At 34.8% G+C, this 22344-nt stretch overlaps 1 long non-coding RNA gene across 1 annotated transcript in view; it reads left to right on the top strand.

Moving 5' to 3' along the window:
• The window catches only part of LOC105377408 (uncharacterized), a 43299-nt gene extending 21370 nt beyond the window's left edge, over positions 1–21929 (top strand). The window contains exons 2-3 of the long non-coding RNA XR_001741822.2: positions 21090–21248; positions 21849–21929. This is a non-coding gene — a long non-coding RNA (uncharacterized LOC105377408). The remainder of the gene's footprint in view (positions 1–21089; positions 21249–21848) is intronic.
• Positions 21930–22344: the final 415 nt, after the last annotated feature.

The following is a 22344-nucleotide window of genomic DNA, read 5'->3' as shown; positions in this document are numbered from 1 at the left end:
AATAAGTTGTGTTGTTTCTTGAACCACAAGTGATACCAGTGTAATCTAATGTACTGGATGTTGATTATTTTCTGTTCTCAGAAGAAATGATATAAAATTTTTTATATTCGTAGTAATTAGCTCACATTTTTAGGCAATGAGCAAATAAAAGAAAGCTGACTTAATAATAATCACAGAAAAAATAGACGTTAAAGCAAAATAACTTTTTAGGGTTACTACATAAATGATCAGAATTTAAACTCACAGAAAACATGGAACAATTTAAATTCTATTGTCTAAAAATTAGCCTCAAATTATATGAATTAAAAAATGGATAGATTTACTGGGAAGCTTAAATAAATCTACCAATATATATAAAGAGATTTCAGCAGTCTTCTTTTATTCACTAATAGTACAAATAGCCAAAAAAAATTGAAAATATAATTTGAATAGTAAAAATATTGTTTATTGTAATAGAGATACACAGAATTTTGTGCCCCCAAATAGAGTAAATACACTTGTCTTAAATATTTATAGCTCATTCACAAAATTGATCATTTTCTATGCCATCAAGCAGGAAATAATAAATTTCAAAGTGCAGGTATCATGCAGATACATGTTTCTCAGGATGAGGAAATCCAGCTAAAAATGTGAAAGAACAACAACTAAAAAAGATAAATAAACCCCCTTATATTTGGAAATAAAAAAACTTGTAACAATTTATGATAAAAGAAGTTGACAAATTTCAAAACTAAAAAATATTTAGAAATAGCTAAATATGGCTGGGTGTGGTGGCTCACGCCTGTAATCCCAACACTTTGGGAGGCCAAGGCAGGTGGATCACCTGAGGTCAGGCTTTCAAGACCAGCCTGGCCAACATGGTAAAATTCCCATCTCTACTAAAAATACAAAAGTTAGCTGGGCGTGGTGGTGCATGCCTGTAATCCCAGCTACTCAGGAGGCTGAGGCAGGAGAATCACTTGAACCTGGGAGGTGGATGTTTCAGTGAGCCGAGATCACAGCTTTGCACTCCAGCCTAAACGACAGAGCAAGATTCTGTCAAACAAAAGAAAAAAAGAAAAGAAAGAAGGAACTAAATATAACCACATTGTACATCAAAACTCATGGGAAAATACAAAAACAATGCTTTGAAAGAAACATATAGCCTTAAATATTTATACTAGAAAAGAAAAATAGCTGAAAAAATAATAAACCAAATTATAAAAGGAACACAAAATAAACCCAAAATTAGAAGGAATAAAAGGAGCGGATCAATGAACTAGAAAGACTTGCATACCAAGGACAAGATTGTTCACACCACTGTCCATAATATCAAATACTTAAAAAACCACAAACACTAATCAATAGAAAAATATACACATAAATTGTGTTATAGTCAGAAATTCAAGTATTAAACAGCAGTAAATATGAATGAAAGAAAGCTACATACAGCGGATTGGAGAAATCTTGGTATTTAATCTGTCACATAGGATGAATTAGGGAGTATGTGAAAGGAAGAAAAAAAAAGCTACCAAAGACAATCTATAGTACCTACTACTACTATAACATTTAAACACAAGCATTACATTTTTAAATTAGAATTATGATTTTGAAATAGTTGTAGATGTACATACAAGTGTAAGAAATAGCACAAAAGTTCCCATGTACCCTTCATGCCATTTCTTCTATTAGTAATATCTTGCAAAACTGTAGAAAATCACAACCAGAATATTAAGGTTGTTACAAACCATCAATTTTATTCAGATTTTACAAGTTAACTTGTACTTATTCGTGTGTGTATACTTAGTTTAATAAAATGTTTTTACATGTAGATTTCTGCATCCAGGACTACAGTTAACATACAGAACAATTCTATCCCAAGGATTTCCTGTGTTGCCCTTTTGTAGCCATACCATCCCAGCCTCATCACTAAACCCTAGTAATCCCTGCTCTATTCTATACTTCCATAGTTTGTTATTTCAAGAATCTGATATGTAAGTAAGACCATGCAGTACGGAGGCTTTTGGGATTGGCTTTTTTCACCCTTATTCACCTGTATAATTCTGTAGAACTCCTTGATTCATCCATGTTGCTGCATGTGTCAATGATTTTTCTATTTTGATAGCTAGTAGTAGTCCATGGCAGAAAAACAACACAGTTTGTTTCATAATCACCTTTAAAGGGAATCTGGGCTGCTCCCAGTTTTCATTTATTATGAATAAAGTTGCTATTCTTCATAGATAGGGTTTTATTTTTCATAAACAAAAGTTTCCATTTCTCCGGGAAACATGTTTCAAGTGTGCAATCGCTGGGTTATATGGTTATTATGTGTTTAGTATTATATAATAGAAAAATGCTAAACTGTTTTCCAGAGTGGCTGTTTCATTTTACATTCCTACCAGCAATATACGAGTGATCCATTTTTCCACATCTTCATCAGCATTTGGGCTTGTCAGCATTTTTTATTTTAGCTATTCTGATAGGTGTATAAATGTATCTCATTGTGACTTAATTTGCATTTTCCTCAAAGCTAATGATTTTGAAAATCTTTTCATGTGGCAAATCTTTCATTCTTTTTTCTAAAATTTTATAATTTTACATGTGAGTCCATTATCTATTTGAGTTAATTTTTGTATAAGAGTGAGGTTTAAGTCAAGGTTTTTTTCTTTTGCTTATGGATATACAATTACTTCTGCATTATTTGTTAAAAAAAGAACAAGAATCATGTCAAAGATGGGATTCCCTAGAAAATAAAATATGTGAAGGAGATATCTGTATACAAAGTGAAAGAATAAGGAGTGACTGGAGTGAGATATAGTCTCAAAAATAGCCTTAATAGCCCCCAGAAAGAACTCGAGTTGGGATATCTCTGTAGACTGGTACTACATTGGAACACTAGAGCCAGAGCTGTATAACTCCCAGTGCCTCCCCATCCTCACGCACTGGTTCTATGCATGCTGCCTCTGAAAAAGGAAGTGACCTTGGATGAGGAGACTCTCAGGCAATTCCAAAAGGGGGAAACAAGAAGACCTGTCAATCACCAACACCACCAGCACTTGCCTGAATGAGTTCTTCTGTCTCGAGTAGATGATCCAGGCAGCTAATTTCAGCATCCACTGGAAATAATAAATGCAAAATTTAGAATAGGTTTTCCTCTGGAAGTGGGCACGATAGAGGAATGATTTGGTAGAGGAGCCCTCAGAACTGTTATTTATAAGGATCTAGTGTTTAGTTTGGCCAGTGGATTAATATTAATAGGAATTCATTATATTATTAAATGAGTAACTAAAAATGTGAATAAACCAAAGATTAATAAAAGAAGTTTATATTTAGACCAAAGATAATAGTTTGTCATGTACCAAAAATCAACACATCAAATGAAATATAATTTAGATAAATAAACTTGTTTGTGATTCTCCTTAAAGACAAATTTTAACTTTAGAAGCTGAAGCATTCCATTATTCAATTGAATTGCTTCCCCAACATATCTGGTGCTGAAGTAACTTTCCTATGTCTCATGTTTCCTCTCACCTTAATACCAGATGAAAGGGCTTTAACACATTCCAAAGATTTATACACAATATTTGCTATTTTCTATTCAGGAAACCCATCTCACATACAGAGACACACATAGGCTCAAAATAAAGGATGGAGGAAGATCTACCAAGCAAATGGAAAGGAAAAAAAAGCAGGGGTTGCAATCCTAGTCTCTGATAAAACAGACTTTAAACCAACAAAGATCAAAAGAGACAAAGAAGGCCATTACATAATGGTAAAGGGATCAATTCAACAAGAAGAGCTAACTATCCTAAATATATATGCACCCAATACAGGAGCACCCAGATTCATAAAGCAAGTCCTGAGTGACCTACAAAGAGACTTAGACATCCACACAATAATAATGGGAGACTTTAACATCCCACTGTCAACATTAGACAGATCAACAAGACAGAAAGTTAACAAGGATACCCAGGAATTGAACTCAGCTTTGCACCAAGCGGACCTAATAGACATCTACAGAACTCTCCACCCCAAATCAACAGAATATACATTTTTTTCAGCAACACACCACACCTATTCCAAAATTGACCACATAGTTGGAAGTAAAGCTCTCCTCAGCAAATGTAAAAGAACAGAAATTATAACAAACTGTCTCTCAGACCACAGTGCAATCAAACTAGAACTCAGGATTAAGAAACCCACTCAAAACCACTCAAGTACATGGAAACTGAACAACCTACTCCTGAATGACTACTGGGTACATAATGAAATGAAGGCAGAAATAAAGATGTTCTTTGAAACCAATGAGAACAAAGACACAAGATACCAGAATCTCGGGGACATATTCAAAGCAGTGTGTAGAGGGCAATTTATAGCACTAAATGCCCACAAGAGAAAGCAGGAAAGATCCAAAATTGACACCCTAACATCACAATTAAAAGAACTAGAAACGCAAGAGCAAACACATTCAAAAGCTATCAGAAGGCAAGAAATAACTAAAATCAGAGCAGAACTGAAGGAAATAGAGACACAAAAAACCCTTCAAAAAATTAATGAAACCAGGAGCTGGTTTTTTGAAAGGATCAACAAAATTGATAGACCGCTAGCAAGACTAATAAAGAAGAAAAGAGAGAAGAATCAAATAGACACAATAAAAAATGATAAATGGGATATCACCACCGATGCCACAGAAATACAAACTACCATCAGAGAATACTACAAACACCTCTACGCAAATAAACTAGAAAATCTAGAAGAAATGGATAAATTCCTCGACACATACACTCTCCCAAGACTAAACCAAGAAGAAGTTGAATCTCCGAATAGACCAATAACAGGATCTGAAATTGTGGCAATAATCAATAGCTTACCAACCAAAAAGAGTCCAGGACCAGATGGATTCACAGCCGAATTCTACCAGAGGTACAAGGAGGAACTGGTACCATTCCTTCTGAAACTATTCCAATCAATAGAAAAAGAGGGAATCCTCCCTAACTCATTTTATGAGGCCAGCATCATCCTGACACCAAAGCCGGGCAGAGACACAACCAAAAAAGAGAATTTTAGACCAATATCCTTGATGAATATTCATGCAAAAATCCTCAATAAAATACTGGCAAACCTAATCCAGCAACACATCAAAAAGCTTATCCACCATGATCAAGTGGGTTTCATCCCTGGGATGCAAGGCTGGTTCAATATACGTAAATCAATAAATGTAATCCAGCATATAAACAGAACCAAAGACAAAAACCACATGATTATCTCAATAGATGCAGAAAAGGCCTTTGACAAAATTCAACAACCCTTCATGCTAAAAACTCTCAATAAATTAGGTATTGATGGGACGTATCTCAAAATAATAAGAGCTATCTATGATAAACCCACAGCCAATATCATACTGAATGGGCAAAAACTGGAAGCATTCCCTTTGAAAACTAGCACAAGACAGGGATGCCCTCTCTCACCACTCCTATTCAACATAGTGTTGGAAGTTCTGGCCAGGGCAATCAGGCAGGAGAAGGAAATAAAGAGTATTCAGTTAGGAAAAGAGGAAGTCAAATTGTCCCTGTTTTCCGATGACATGATTGTATATCTAGAAAACCCCATCGTCTCAGCCCAAAATCTCCTTAAGCTGATAAGCAACTTCAGCAAAGTCTCAGGATACAAAATCAATGTACAAAAATCACAAGCATTCTTATACACCAATAACAGACAAACAGAGAGCCAAATCATGAGTGAACTCCCATTCACAATTGCTTCAAAGAGAATAAACTACTTAGGAATCTAACTTACAAGGGACGTGAAGGACCTCTTCAAGGAGAACTACAAACCACTGCTCAATGAAATAAATGAGGATACAAACAAATGGAAGAACATTCCATGCTCATGGGTAGGAAGAATCAATATCGTGAAAATGGCCATACTGCCCAAGGTAATTAATAGATACAATGCCATCCCCATCAAGCTACCAATGACTTTCTTCACAGAATTGGAAAAAACTACTTTAAAGTTCATATGAAACCAAAAAAGAGCCCGCATCGCCAAGTCATTCCTAAGCCAAAAGAACAAAGCTGGAGGCATCACACTACCTGACTTCAAACTATACTACAAGGCTACAGTAACCAAAACAGCATGGTACTGGTACCAAAACAGAGATATAGATCAATGGAACAGAACAGAGCCCTTACAAATAATGCCGCATATCTACAACTATCTGATCTTTGACAAACCTGAGAAAAACAAGCAATGGGGAAAGGATTCCCTATTTAATAAATGGTGCTGGGAAAACTGGCTAGTCATATGTAGAAAGCTGAAACTGGATGCCTTCCTTACACCTTATACAAAAATTAATTCAAGATGGATTAAAGACTTAAACATTAGACCTAAAACCATAAAAACCCTAGAAGAAAACCTAGGCATTACCATTCAGGACATAGGCATGGGCAAGAACTTCATGTCTAAAACACCAAAAGCAATGGCAACAAAAGCCAAAATTGAAAAATGTGATCTAATTAAACTAAAGAGCTTCTGCACAGCAAAAGAAACTACCATCAGAGTGAACAGGCAACCTACAGAATGGGAGAAAATTTTTGCAACCTACTCATCTGACAAAGGGCTAATATCCAGAATCTACAATGAACTCAAACAAATTTACAAGAAAAAAGTAAACAACCCCATCAAAAAGTGGGCAAAGGATATGAACAGACACTTCTCAAAAGAAGACATTTATGCAGCCAAAAGACACATGAAAAAATGCTCATCATCACTGGCCATCAGAGAAATGCAAATCAAAACCACAATGAGATACCATCTCACACCAGTTAGAATGGCAATCATTAAAAAGTCAGGAAACAACAGGTGCTGGAGAGGATGTGGAGAAATAGGAACACTTTTACACTGTTGGTGGGACTGTAAACTAGTTCAACCATTGTGGAAGTCAGTGTGGCGATTCCTCAGGGATCTAGGACTAGAAATGCCATTTGACCCAGCCATCCCATTACTGGGTATATACCCAAAGGACTATAAATCATGCTGCTATAAAGACACATGCACACGTATGTTTATTGCGGCACTATTCACAATAGCAAAGACTTGGAACCAACCCAAATGTCCAACAATGACAGACTGGATTAAGAAAATGTGACACATATACACCATGGAATACTATGCAGCCATAAAAAATGATGAGTTCATGTCCTTTGTAGGGACATGGATGAAATTGGAAATCATCATTCTCAGTAAACTATCGCAAGGACAAAAAACCAAACACCGCATGTTCTCACTCATAGATGGGAATTGAACAATGAGAACACATGGACACAGGAAGGGGAACATCGCACTCTGGGGACTGTTGTGGGGTGGGGGGAGTGGGGAGGGATAGCATTAGGAGATATACCTAATGCTAAATGATGAGTTAATGGGTGCAGCACACCAGCATGGCACATGTATACATATGTAACTAACCTGCACATTGTGCACATGTACCCTAAAACTTAAAGTATAATAATAATAAAAAAAATTTAAAAAAATATTTGCTATTTTCTAATTTGCTTATCTATCCTTTGAGACGCAATACAGAAACTTACATGTAATCAGATCTGTAGATCTTAAGAATTAACGAAGCAATGTATAATTTCAAAGCTTTATATTTTAGTATTTTCTTGCCTTTTCAAAAGCAAAATCATGGTTTGACTTTCCTGTTTCTTAAACATGAATTCAGCAAAAATGCATATGGGAAAATCACTGAAACTTTGAATAACCAAGATTCTTGCCGATAATTTCCATTACAGTCAAATTCCGTAAGCTTCAGTCTGCAAGTTTCAGTCTAATTTTTTGCTTCTGGTTGACTACAGTGAAAGCCCATGAACTGTCATATATTAGCTAACAGCAGTTCTCTCAGGAAAAAAGTCATTTGCTCTCTGAAGTATGACTCCTTAGACAGATGCTGCTGTGAGTGTTTACTCTGTAGTGTTATAGTTTTCCTGTTAGCTTGGATTTTTCTTTACTCAAACACTTGTTTGATATTGGGCTCCGGGGGAGGTGGGGAGAACGGAGACAGGATAAAGTTCAGATTACTGTGAAAACACAATTTTGACAAGGAAATCAAATTTAGTCATTTTCAATTCCACGTCTAGATTTGTCTAGAAACCCATATGCTATGAGCTCCAATTTCTGACTTTTCATTCTTTGAAGCCTATTTATGATTTGCAGACATACCGAGAGTGATCTGAATGTAAAACAGCTTTCAGAGTAATTGTTTCTGCAGTTGTTTTGTTCCTCTGTAAAATGCATCCCCCTGTACTTCGATTGTAGAGCCAATCAGGTGCTCCCCTAGCAGAGCACAGGCATGATAATGCTTGCCATTCAGCTATATGACATTTGATGGCAACAGACAGAATTTGTACAGAACCTCCACGTTTGAAGTTCCCCTAGTGCAAAGAACACTGCGGTTTAAGGCATTGCACAAATGTTACAGTAACAATAATAAAAGTATGCGATATTTCCCCTTTGAGGAAACATTAACAAATCTGCTAAATATTTTTATATAAGTAATTTGTTGTAATTTTTTTTCTATGGTTTGGAGCATAGAAGAGAAATGAGATTTTGAGTAGAAATCTGGTATATAACTCCCAATTAATTCTCACTCTACTACTATGCAATAGGTGTGATTATTGTCATTTTAAGAATGATGACTGAGGCTAGATAGGCTTTTTGAGGGGGAAAAGAGAATGATAAGGTTGCTAGTTTGGAATTCATTTTCTCTCTCATTAAACTAGGATTTTGTGAATTGTTACTGAATGACACAGATTTTAATAGGTATGAAAATACAACAAGGTTTAGTTGAATGATAAAATGTTTGAAAAGTCTAGGTTCCATGCTACTCATATTTTGCTGCAATACTTTAATAGTATGATACAGCTAAATGCAACCCATCTTCCAAAAAATGTAGGGTGCCCTTTTTTAACATCTAAAAATCTCAAGGCAATACTATTCCAAGGCGTAGAGTTTTGGAAAAGTGATGCTTCTAAAGTATACATACTTCTCAAGGAGGCTGTCTTTGAAAAAAAAATCAGCTGATTTGCAAAGCAGAGAGTCACAAAATCACTTTTTCCCCAAGGTATAGAGAAAACATTTACTTTGGAGTGACTGCAAGTATGTGCTGAGACTTGCATGTAGTTTGTTCTTAATATTTTTTTTAACCACAGGAAGGGATTAGGTTTCATATATCCTTTCAGATCTTCACATCTTTAAAGGAAGGCAGACAAAAATAGCAGGGTATGCTATGATTTATTCTCAAGTGGATTGCTATTTGAATTTTATAGCCATATTTGTTTTGGTATATAAGATTATACATACAATACCAAGAGGTCCAGAAAAGACTTCAGAACATGGCAGGGCCTTTGATAAAAGAAAGCCAAAGTGTTCCTCACAGTCCTTTTCATTATATATATATATATATATATATATATATATATATATATATATAGACATGCCTTTGTTGCTCATGCCTGTTTTCCTTTCACCTTCCATCCTCTCTTGCACAGCTACAAACATACATTCATACACATACAAACAATTCTTATGTGCAAATCAGTGAAATAAAATGTAGTTTTTGACAATATAGGTAGAATTATTTTTTGGGGTTTTGGGGAACAGTCGGTGTTTGGTTACATGGATAAGTTCTTAGTGGTGATTTCTGAGATTTTGAAATCTCTAGTTTTGAGCATTTTAAAGGAAGCTGCTACACATTTTTATCATTCTTATATATTTTATTCAATTTGACTCAATCAATACTTATCAAGCATCTACCACGTTCCAGGACTTATAGTAAAAATGAAGAGGTCAATTATGAACAAGACAGATAAAGTCCTGGAAGACCTAGGCATTAGGATTAAGCAGGACATTGAACTGAAATGGAAGTTTCAAATATTTTGGAAAAGATGAAATTCAATACACCAAGGCATTGAGTTAAAATGGAATTTAAAGCTGCCTAAAGATGAGGAAGACCCATTTAATTTATTCTTAAACTGACACAAAAGAATGAATAGGAATAGGATGAGGATGAAGTAATAGCATCCCATGCAAATATCCCCTAAACACAAAAAGTCCCAGAACTATATAATAAATTTCTTATATAGTGCTTGAAAACTGAAAGAAGTTTAGAAGATTTGTAGCATCAAGGACAAAGGTAAAGTTACAAAAGATGAAGCTAGAGCTATAAGGACCAACTGTCAGTAGTTTTTAAGGATTTTTGATATTAAGAAAATGGGAAGGTACTGTACAATTTTAAGAAAGCAAGAAAACAATGACATGATCAGATTTCTGTTGTTTAAAAGATCCCTCTGGCCAGGTGCAGTGGCTCACGCCTCTAATCCCAGAACTTTGGGAGGCCGAGGCGGGTGGATCATGAGGTCAGGAGTTCGAGACCAGCCTGGCCAACACAGTGAAACCCCGTCTCTACTAAAATTACAAAAAAAAAAAAAAAGAAAGAAAAAAAGTTAGCAGGGCGTGGCGGCATGCACCTGTAATCCCAGCTACTCAAGAGGCTGAGGCAGGAAAATCTCTTGAACCCGGGAGGCAGAAGTTGCTGTGAGCCGAAATTGCGCCACTGCACTCCAGCCCAAGAGACAGTGGGAGAATCCTTCTGAAAAAAAAAAAAAATCCCTCTGATTTCTGGGCCATGAATGAACTAGAGACAGCAATCATAGACATGAAGAGGGTGACTAGAAACTGTGTACAATGGTTGGCTGGGCTTGGTGCCTGTAATCACAGCACTTTGGGAGGCCGAGGCAGGCGGATGACTTGAGATCAGGAGTCCAAGACCAGCCTGGTCAATCTCTACTAAAAAATACACAAATTAGCCGAGTGGCATGGCGCATGCACGCCTGTAATCCCAGCTACTTCGGAGGCTGAGGCACAGAGGCTGAGGCAGGAGAATCACTTGAATCCAGGAGGTTAAGGTTGCAATGAGCCGAGATCACATCGCTACACTCCAGCCTGGGTGACAGAGCAAGACCCTGTCTCAAACAAACAAACAAAAACCTACAGTGGTAATTTTTTGAACTTCAGTGATGATGGCATAAGAAAGAATATTAATATTTCAGACATATTTCTGAGGTAGAAAAACCAATCTAATAAATAATTCAATGTGAAATATCAGAGAGAATGAAAACATTAAAGATTGCTTGACGTTTTGGGTTTGATTAGGTGGGGAAGGTGGTACTTATTGTAGTGAAAAGGAACACCGAATGAGAAATACACCTCTGTGAGATGAATTTGGTTGGTAAGATGTTGAATTTTAGGTTATTGACCTATATCCAATTTAACTAGTGCTTACGGAACCAATGAGAAGGTACAGGAGTGACTGTGACTCCCTCATTCATTCTCATTCTGTCTCTGATGCTATTCTCCACCCTGTCATTCTCCAAGGACTATTAGATTTAGGACTGTAACATCTGTTTTTATTTGATATTTGAGGCAGTGTTAATTCTGAATTGAATTCCAGTGCTGAGTATGATGTACAAGCACACAACTGCTTGTCATTCGTGAGTGCTGACACTCCCCCAAAAAATATCATAGAAAACCCGGTGTGACTAAGCAAACTCCAAGAAAATGCATCATTCTTTTTCTTCTAATCCAGTATTACTGGTATGTATGACATCTTGACTGAGTATCTTCTTTATTCTAAGAGGGAGAAAAAGGTAGATATTCTTTTACATTTTAGCTTTATTTTTCTTCGTCATAAAAAAGTTTGCATTTTGTTTAATTTTTCTTCTAAAAATATCAGATAACTTAGCAGGCATATGTACAGGTTTAACTTCATTTGAGGCTCCAAGGTGACCAGTCATGATTGTGATGAATGTACTGGCACAGGTTTAATTAACTTTGTGTCCTCTGCTGTCATTTATAAATTTAAACTAATATCTAATGGATGTAATCAGATAAGCTAAATTTGTCCAATTATATTCCAATCTGAGGAAAGCCCTTAAAATCAGGTGTTAAACAATTACCTCCAAGACAAAACCAGAAGTAGCGTGTAATTCGTAGGATAGGAAGTGGTAATACCGTCTTCTAGTAGCTGTAGTTCTTTACGTCAACTTCAGAACTATCTACTTTGCATTTAGGACGTCTGTGGTTAAGAAACTGCGGTTCCTTCTACATGGCCAAAGGACCTCTGACATTAAAGCTGCAGAGACTCAGTGAGAAACTTAAAAGAGAGTAACAAAACTAATGGAAAGAATTACTAGAGGTTGATTAGTTCTTATCTTTGACTTTTTCTTTCCAGGGCTTAAGAGATCTTTCCTTTTTTTATTGAATAAGAGATAGCAGTGGAAAAATAAATAAGAAAAGTGTAACGTTAGAGGAAATACTTCAGAATAAGAGAAAAGAAAAATAAAAAAACTTTTAAATATCCTACAGTTTTATCACTATACTATTATGTTCGAGTCCATAAAATGTGTTTGATGTTTGAAAAAATAGTGTCAACCGTTGGAGTATTTAGTAGACAATGTAAACTTGGCTTTACTTTGTCCCGGGACAGACTGAACTCATGTGAAGCCAAATTTCAGATCCAAGTACAACTGGAAAATTGGAACTTCAGTCTTGTAGCTAAGGCAGGTTATGAAGTCAGTTTAATTGCCTGCAGTAGTTGCTGTTTCTGTAACCTTGACGACAACCAGAAACAACAGTAAATGTAACCATTTAAGGCTTTTAAACCATCAAGCTACCAAGATTGTATGGAAAGATTGTATGGAAAAGTGAAACTTCAGTAAAGGAGACCAGAGTGGAAGAATTTTGGAGATGTAGCTCTTTTCTGATAGATACTGAACATTCAAACTTAGATTTCTTATTCAGAAAGATCTCTGGGGTTCTACCATCCACTGACTTCAGCTACATGGAGTATTTAATGTTGACATGAGCCTTTGATAGTATAGTGCTTTCTAAACTGGCGGCCCATTGCAAAGCAAAAGTTTTTTAAAAATCCTTACCTGTGTGACTGTGGAAATTTTTGAAGATAGACACCACTTATTTACCAAATAGATCAATCAAGATCATAAGGTTTTTACAGAACAAAAATAAACACTTGAGAATCCATAATTGGGACAATGTCTATGTTTTCAGTTAATTTTTAAAAATGTATCAAAAATAAGTGCAGAAAGTCACTTTTCTAATGTATCAAAAACCTTATAGTAAAGAGTGTGGTCACTAAACCCTTCTCTTCTTTCAGACATATTCTCCAGAGGAAATAATTTTAAGTGTTTCTTCTGGTAGTCATTTCTATGTTTCTAAATAATATACTTACATTGTTATTTAGTGATTATCAATTTGGGTATTTGTCTAATGACTCCTGTTATGCTAGATAAAGATATAGCACTCTCCTCAAACTGCCTTGCTCCATCCTCCCGAATTATTAACTAGTAATTTGTTAAATAATCATTGTTTATTTCAGCATCACCATATTCTATTGAATATATACACTATATAGAGCAACATATTCTACTATAATATTTTTAATTGTAAAATCTTTTGTTTTCCTTAAATTAATAATTCCCTCTTTTTCACGTATCTGGCTTTCTCTCCCTCTCTCCCTTATCCCGTCTCTTTTGTCTCCTCTTTCTCACTCTCTCACTCTTTTTCTCTGTTGGTAAACATCACCAAATCACCCACAATAATCACCAACAAATTATTTCTCATTTTATCGTGTACTAACTCTCATTTTCTTACAGCATCCCTCCCCAAGCTAAAACTGCCTTGGTTATTTTAGAAATTTACCAAACTTCCAGTCTTCTAAGACTTCTCTTAACCATTCTCCTGTGTTAATTCCACCCATTGTTGGACATGAGGTCTTTCTCTTGGTATACACCACTACTTCTAATCACTCCCTAATAAGAAGTGTATAGAGACAAGATTCATGGGTCCTTATATAGCTATATTGTCTTTATTCATTACATATACTTGAATCAAAATATGACTAATCTAGAATCATATTTTTCAAAATTGTCAAAGCAATTCTGAAGTTTGTGTCATTTACCTCCTTGTTTTTAATAATAATTGTATCAAACATGCTTGCATCTGTAAATAATTTGTTGCATAGTTTTGCCATTTTTGAATTCTAAAAAGTGGAAACATGAATTATTTTGCAGCTACCTCTTTTCTGTCAAGCTTGTTTTTGAGGTTTATCCACATTGGTGCATATAACTTTAGTTCTTGCTTTTAAAAAAAATTTTACTGAGGTATAATAATTCCAGTGTTTAAATATACAACAACTTATTTACTTATACTGGCATTCAAAGTTTGAGTGGACTCCAGGATTTTGCTATCACAAACAGTGCTGATCTGTCTACAATAGTACAACAGTATTGTAAATGTCTATCTTTAGTGTTTTCAGCATATATAAAAGAGTAGAATTGTGGGAACATTTGATAAATACATGTTGAACTTTAATAGGTAGTGTGATACAATTTCCAAAGTATCACTTATACGACCACCTGAAGTTTCTGTTGATCCACGTCTTTGTCAGTACTTGACTTTAGCTGATTTCTTAATTTTTCTTAATTTCGGGACATAGACATTGTCCCAAGTATGGATTCTCAAGTATTTATTTTTATTCTGTAAAATCCTGCTAATGTTTATTGATCTTAATAAAATGGATTTTTTTGTTTTAATTTGTATTTACCCATATGATAATGAAGTTGAGCATCTTTTCATGTTCCTGGGCTCTTTGCATATCCTATTATGTGAAAGATGTCTTTATAACTTGCTAGTTTCAAGTTATTAAATTGTCAGTTTTTTATTTATATGAGTTCTTTATTTTAGATATGACACAGTTGTCAACTAAATGTGTAGCATATTTTCTCTCCAGCATACAATTTGTTTTCATTCTCTTTATGTTACTGTATCGTGAAAAAATATTCTTTAATGTAACTTAATTATAATGGATTTAGTTAATTCTTTTAAAATAATCAATATGTTTCCTTATTATTTGCTTTATGACATTTTCCACCAGAACTTCTTCTTTATTCAAAGGTCAAAATTAGGATAAAGTCTTTTCAAAAAATAATTAAAGTTTTTTTTTGCTTTACTATTATATAGGCATACCTAGTTTCATTGCACTTCATCCAAACACACTCCACAGACACTACATTTTTCTTTCTTTTTAAAAAATTTTGGGTTTATGGCAACTCTGTGTTGAGTAATTCTGTTGACAGCATTTTTCCAACAGCATGTGCTCACTTTGTTTTTTTGTGTTATATTTTGGTAATTCTCACAACATATCAAATTTGTTCATTATTACTATATCTGTCATGGTGATCTATAATTCGGGATCTTTGATGTTACTATTGTAATTGTTTTAGGGCACCCGTATAAGAAAATGTGCTTAACTGATAAATGCTGTGTGAGTTCTGATGTTCCATCAATCAGCCATTCCCATCTCTTTCCCTCTCCTTACACCTTCCTGTTCCCTGAGACACACAGTATTGAAATCAGGACAATTACAATGGCCTCTGAGTGTTCAAGTGAAAGGAAGAGTTGCACATATTTTACTTTAAATCAGAAGCTAAAAATGATTAAGTTTAGTGAAGAAGGGATGTTGAAAGCAGGGCTTGGCCTAAAGCTAGGCCTCTTGAGCCAACAAGCAAGCTGTAAATGCAAAGAAAAAGTTTTTAAAGGAAATTAAAAGTGCTACTCCAGTGAACAAACAAATGATAAGAAAGCAAAACAGCCTTATTGCTGATATGGAGAAAGTTTGAGTGGTCTGGATAGAAGATCAAACTAACCACAACATTCCCTTAAGCCAAAGCCTAATCCAGAGCAAAGCCCTAACTCTCTTCAATTCTATGAAGGCTGAGAGAGGCAAGGAAGCTACAGAAGAAAAGTGGACACTAGCAGAGGTTCATTCATCACATTTTAGGAAAAAAACCCTCTCTACAACATAAAAAATGCACGGTGAAGCAGCAAGTGCTGATGTAGAAGCTGCAGCAAGTTATGCAGAAGATCTAAGATAACTGATGAAGGTGTCTACACTGACAACAGATTTTCATTATAGACAAACAGACTTCATTTGGAAGAAGATGCCATGTAAGACTTGCATAGCTAGAGAAGGGAAGCCAGTGCTAGGTTTCAAAGCTTCAGGGGACAGGCTCTTTTGTTAGAGGCTAATGCAACAGGTGACTTTAAATTGAAGCTAGTGCTATTTACCATTAAAAGAATACTGGAGTCCTTAACACTTATGCTAAATCTACTCTGCCTGTGCTCTGTTAATGGAAGAACAAAGCCTGGTTGACAACACACCTCTTTACAGCATGGTTTACAGAATATCTTAAGCCCCATATTGAGAAGTACTCCTCAGAAAAAAATTCTTTTCAAAATAGTGCTGCTCATTGACAATCACCTGCTGCCATTGACATTGTAACTGATTGACAATGTAGTTCATTGACAATGTAACTATGACAGAGAGGTATAAGCGATTAATGTTGTTTTCATCTCTGCTAACACAACATGCATTCTTCAGCCCATGGATCGAGCAGTAATTTTGGCTTTCAAGTCTTATATTTCAAGAAATATATTTTGGCCGGGTGCAGTGGCTCATGCCTGTAATCCCAGCATTTTGGCATGCCTAGGCAGGCGGATCACGAGGTCAGGAGATTGAGACCATCCTGGCCAACATGGTGAAACCCCGTCTCTACTAAAAATATGAAAATTACCTTGGCGTGCTGGTGTGTGCATGTAGTCCCAGCCACTCAGGAGGCTGGGGCAGGAGAATGGCTTGAACCCAGGAGGCGGAGGTTACAGTGAGCCGAGATCACGCCACTGCACACCAGCCTGGTGACTGAGTCAGACTCCACGTCAAAAAAAAAAAAAAAAGAAAGAAATATATTCAATAAGGCTATAGCTGCCATAAGATAGTGAATTCTCTGATGGATTTGGGCAAAGTCAATTGAAAACCTTTTGGAAAGTAGTCACCAGTGGAGATGCCATTAAGAACATTTGTGATTCATCAGAGGTCAAAATGTCAACATTAATAGGGACGTAGAAGTTAATTCCAACCTTCTTTGAGAGAGACTTCAGTGGAGAAAGTAACTGCAGATGGGGTGGAGATAGCAAGAGAATTAGAATTAGAAATGAAGCCTACGATGGGACTAAATTGCTTCAATATAATAAAACTTGAATGGGTGAGGAGTTGTTTCTTATGGATGAGCAAAAAAAGTGGTTTCTTGAGATGGGGTTTATTCCTGGTGAAGGTGATAGGAACATTGTTGAAATGTTCAAATCCTTTGAAACAACAAAGGATTTAGAATATTATGTAAACTTGTTAATGCAGCAGTGCCAGGGGTCTGAGAAGATTGACGCCAATTTTGAAAGTTCTGTGTGGAGGTAAAATGCTGTTGGTAGCATTGTGTGCTACAAACAACTGTTTCATAAAAGGAAGAGTCAATCAATGTGGCAAACTTCATTGTTTTATTGTAAGAAATTGCCACAGCCACTGCAACCTTCAGCAATCACCATCTGATCAGTTGGCAGCCATCAACATTGAGGCAAGATCCTCCAAGAGCAAAATTAGAACTCACTGAAAGCTCAGATGTTCATCAGCAATTTTAGCAATAAAACTTGTTTAAAGTATGTATGTTTTTTAGACATAATGTTATTGCACTCTTAATAGACTACAGTATGGTTTAATGTAAATTTTATACACATAGGGAAACAAAAAATTTGACTCGCTTCTCACTTTTTCAAAATATTCACTTTATTGTGGCCACCTAGAACTGAACCCACAATATATTTCTGAGGTATGCTCGGAATTCATTTAAAATTGATTCCTTAAAATAATATGAGATGAAAATCAAATGTTATTTTGCCTACAATGATAACCATTGTTAGCACATTTTATTGGATAGTTCATCCCTTCCCTCTACTCTGCAATATCTGTTCTGAATAAATGAATTTTTTCACATACAAATATTGGTTTGCTTCAGTACTCTGTATTTGTATTCTATTGGTCTAATTATTTCTTTTTTCACTAATAGCATTTCACCTTAATTATCAAAACTGTACAAGAGATTTTGCTTTCTGATGGAGTTACTTACTTTATATTCTATTTCTAGGTTTATATCTTGGTTATTTTTAAAACTTGATTCAAATTCAAATTTTAAAATCAGTTTGTTGAGTTGTACCAATGCACAGTCCAAACTATTGGGATTTCGACTGCATTGGGAATTGCATTGGAGATGTGGAAGACTTAGAAATACGATTTTATAATACTAAATTTTTCTTTTCAGCAAGACATTTTTTGGTATCTTTCAATAAAGTTTTATAATTTTTAAATAAAGAATTTAAACATGTTTTGTTAGATTTATTCACAGGTAATTTACTTTTTAAAATGCATCTAATAAATATTATAGTATTAAAGTACATTTTCTACTTGTTCCTGAAGTAACAAAATCTAATTTTTAACATTTTTAATTGAAGCATAATGTACATTTAGACAGTGTACATACAACACAATGAATTTCCACAAATGTAGTTCATCCGTGTACTATCTCCCAGATTAAGGAATAGTTGAGATCAAAAGCACCCAATAAGTTCCTTACATGTTTTCTTTCATTATTAGAAATGCTTCCCCACTTTCTGCTTAAGGATATCCACTATCTTGATCCTAAAGGGCATTTCTTAATGTTGGTTCTTTGTGTAGTTTATGTAATTGGAAATATGCTATATGTGTTATTATGTGTCTAGCTTCTGCTCAACATCATATTTTTGAGATACATGTTTACTGTTGCATCAGTGTTAGAGCATTTATCATTGTTGCAACACTGTTAACAACACTGTTAACAATTTAACAATGTTAAGTTGCTATACAGTATTTTATCCTGTGACTATATGAGAATTTATTCATTCTACTCTTGATAGGTACTTGGGTAGTTTTCAGCTATTAGACATAGTGCTTCTATGAAGATTCTAATACATGTCTATTTGTGATTTTTTGCTTGCATTTTGCATGACATACAAAGAATGGAATTGTTGCATTATAGGAAATGTGCATGTTACACCTGCAACAGCCGGTTTCTGAAAAATGTATACTAAATTACCTTCCCACCAACAATGTGTGATAGTATTGATTGTTCCTCATGCTCACAAACACTTTACATTTTCAAGCCTTTTCACTTTAGCAATTCTGGCAGGTGGGAAGTGCTATCTCAGTGTGATTTTAATTTGCATTTTCTGATAAACAGTGGTGAACATTTTTTCATGTTTGCCATCATTTGGATATCATTTCATAAAGTATCTTTCTGAAATATTTGGCCCATTTTTTCTATTTGGTAATCTGTGTTTATTTTTTTATTTATTTAAGAGTTTATTTAGTATTCTAGATCCAAATATTTTGTTAGATATATGTATTGTAAATATCTTCTCCTATGCTGTGGGCTTACTTTTCACTTTCTTACCAATGTCTGTTTATTAACAGAAATTCTGAAATTAATAAAATTCAATCTATAATTTTTTGTAAGCACTTTTTGTGTTATTTTTATTTATTTATTTATTTATTTATTTATTTATTTATTTATTTATTATTGAGATGGAGTTTCACTCTTGTCGCCCAAGCTGGAGTCCAGTGGCATGATCTCAGCTCACTGCAACCTCTGCCTCCCAGGTTCAAGCGATTCTCCTGCCTCAGCCTCCCGAGTCACTAGGATTACATGCATGCGCCACCATGCCTGGCTAATTTTTTGTATTTTTAGTAGAAATGGGGTTTCACCATGTTGACCAGGCTGGTCGTGAACTCCTGACTTCAGGAGATCTGCCCACCTTGGCCTTCCAAAGTGCTCGGATTACAGTTATGAGCCACCGTGCCTGGCTGTGTTCTTTAAAAAAAAAAAAAAAAAAAATTACCCACTCCCATACCATAAAAATGTTCTCCTATGCTTACCTCTGAAAATTACATAGTTTTACCTTTTATTTTTGTCTTCAAATCAACTAGAATTAATTTTTTTGTGAACAGCCTCAGGTAGGGATGAAAATACATTTTTTAAAAAGTGAATAGTCAATTGCACAAGCAACACAAAGTAAAAATATCAAACTATGCTTTTTCTCACAGTATTGAGGTTCTGGTCTTGTGTGCTTCTGTTTCTTAACTATTCTGTTCCATTGCTGAGTTTTTCTATCCTTGTCCCAATACCACTGGACTGTCATCACATCTGGTATTGTTAAATCTTCCATGTTTTTTCCTCAGTATAGCCTTTGTTGTTCTTGGCAACTTGCATTTCTATATAAATTTTAGAACTGTTTTGTCAATTTCTGCCATACGAGAAGCTGATATTTTCACTGGGATTGTTTTCAAAATGTAAATTAATTTAGAGGACAATTGTCATCATTATAATATTGTCTTTTAACTCATGAACATGGTATATCTCTCCATTTCAGTTTCAAAATTTTTTCTTAATAATGTTTAGAAGATTCAAGTGGAAATGTCTTGTGAAACTTGTGATATATTTATTCCTAGGTATTTGATATTTTTGTGCCATTTAAGTATTTTTATTTTAGTTTCCATTTTTATTTCTTAACAAGTACAGAAGGTAAAATTAGTTATATTTTGTATTGTGTGCAAGTCAAAATGTTAAGTTTGCTCATTAGCTCTAATAATTATTTCTAGTAAATACTCATAGATTTTGTAGGCTCACAATATCTCCAAATAATGACAATTTAACATTTTATTCACCAATGTTGATGGTTCATTTATACTATTTTTCTTGACTTAATTTACCAGCTAGAATTTCCAATGTACTGATGAATATAAGTTGTTATAGTAGATATCTTTGTCTTTTTCACTTTTTCAGACTCAGGGGGACTATTTTAAATATTTATAAATTGGTATAATAATTGCTGCGAATTTTGGTAGATATTTCTTATCACATCGAGGAGTTCTCTTCTTACTCAAGTTTACTCAACACTTTTTGGTTTATTTTTTAGAAATCATAACTGGTGTTAGAGGTTTGCTAAATTCTTTTGCTGCTTCAGTCAATAATCTCTTGATTGTATTTATGTGGTGCTTGAGATTGACTGATTTTTTTCAAATGTTGGACTAACCTTATGTATCTCACATATTGTAGCTACTCTTTAGAGGTATGATGGATCTCCCCACAAAGTCTGGTTCAGGTGTCAAGACCTACACACCAAGAAACGATGAGAAGAATTATCATTCACATGAGACTTTCTGGGGCAAGCAGAGTGGCTACCAAACAGGTCTTAAAATGGCTTGAGAAATCCAGGTAAGGAGATTGGCTTGAAATTGTTATGGTGATTAGGGGATGGGTCTAGGATGAAAGTTCCACTCATGGTTTGAATTTTATATCAGCATCAAAGAAGAAAAAAAGCCCTGGTTTTCTTATTAGCTTGTCCCTATGTGAGGCAAAGGGGAGAGAGGGAGGAGTGAAGCCTAAAATCTATGAAGAGTTAAACATCAGAAAATAGAGTCAGACTCTTTGTTACAACCTGGATATATCTCACTGATTCATGACATATTTTCCTTTTTTATAAACCAATTAATTCAATATGCTGAGAGTTTACTTACATTTTTAGCATCTTATGTTTAGAAGAGAGGCTGTTCTGCAATATTCCTTTCTTGTAAGAGCCTTCCAAATTTTAGAATTAAGGTAAACTAGACTCTTAAAAGGAATAAGAGATGGTTCTCTCTTTTTTTCTTCTCTAGAAGATTTGTTTAAGATTTATCTATTTTTGTTCCTAAAATGTTGGAAGAGTTCATAGGCAAAACCATAAAAGCCTGAGGTTTTAATTGTAGAAAGGTATAATAATAGTTTGAATTATTTTTGTTAGAAGACTAATATTAATATTTTTTACTTCTCTTTCAGCCAATATTGGTGAGTTGTATTTTTGTGCCATTTTTTTCAAATTAAATTTATTCATATGAAGTTGTTCATAATATTCTCCTGTTATATTTTAGCTATTTGTAGAATCTACATTCTTGATATTGGTAATGTTTTGTTCTCTACTTATACCTTGAACAATATTGCTTAGTTAGATCTTCATCAATTGTATTAGTTTTCCTTGGTCCAACTTTTGACTTTATTCATTTTCCCTTTTGAATACTTGTTTTCTATTTTATTAATTTCTGCTGTAATTTTGTATAATGTCTTCGCTTTTCCAAGTTTGAATTGCTTTTCTTTTTCTTCCTCAAGAACATAGTGTGTTTCATAAACGTTGTGATATGGTTTGGCTCTGTCCCCACCCAAATCTCATCTTGAATTCCTATATGTTGTGGGAGGGACCCAATGGGAGGTAACTGGATGTGGGGGCCAGTCTTTCCCATGGTGTTCTCTTGGTGGTGGGTGGGTCTCATTAGATATG

Source organism: Homo sapiens, chromosome 4 (assembly GCF_000001405.40).
Source record: "Homo sapiens chromosome 4, GRCh38.p14 Primary Assembly".
In the NCBI taxonomy this organism is placed as follows: domain Eukaryota; kingdom Metazoa; phylum Chordata; class Mammalia; order Primates; family Hominidae; genus Homo; species Homo sapiens.
This window is presented reverse-complemented; position numbering and strand designations above follow the sequence as displayed.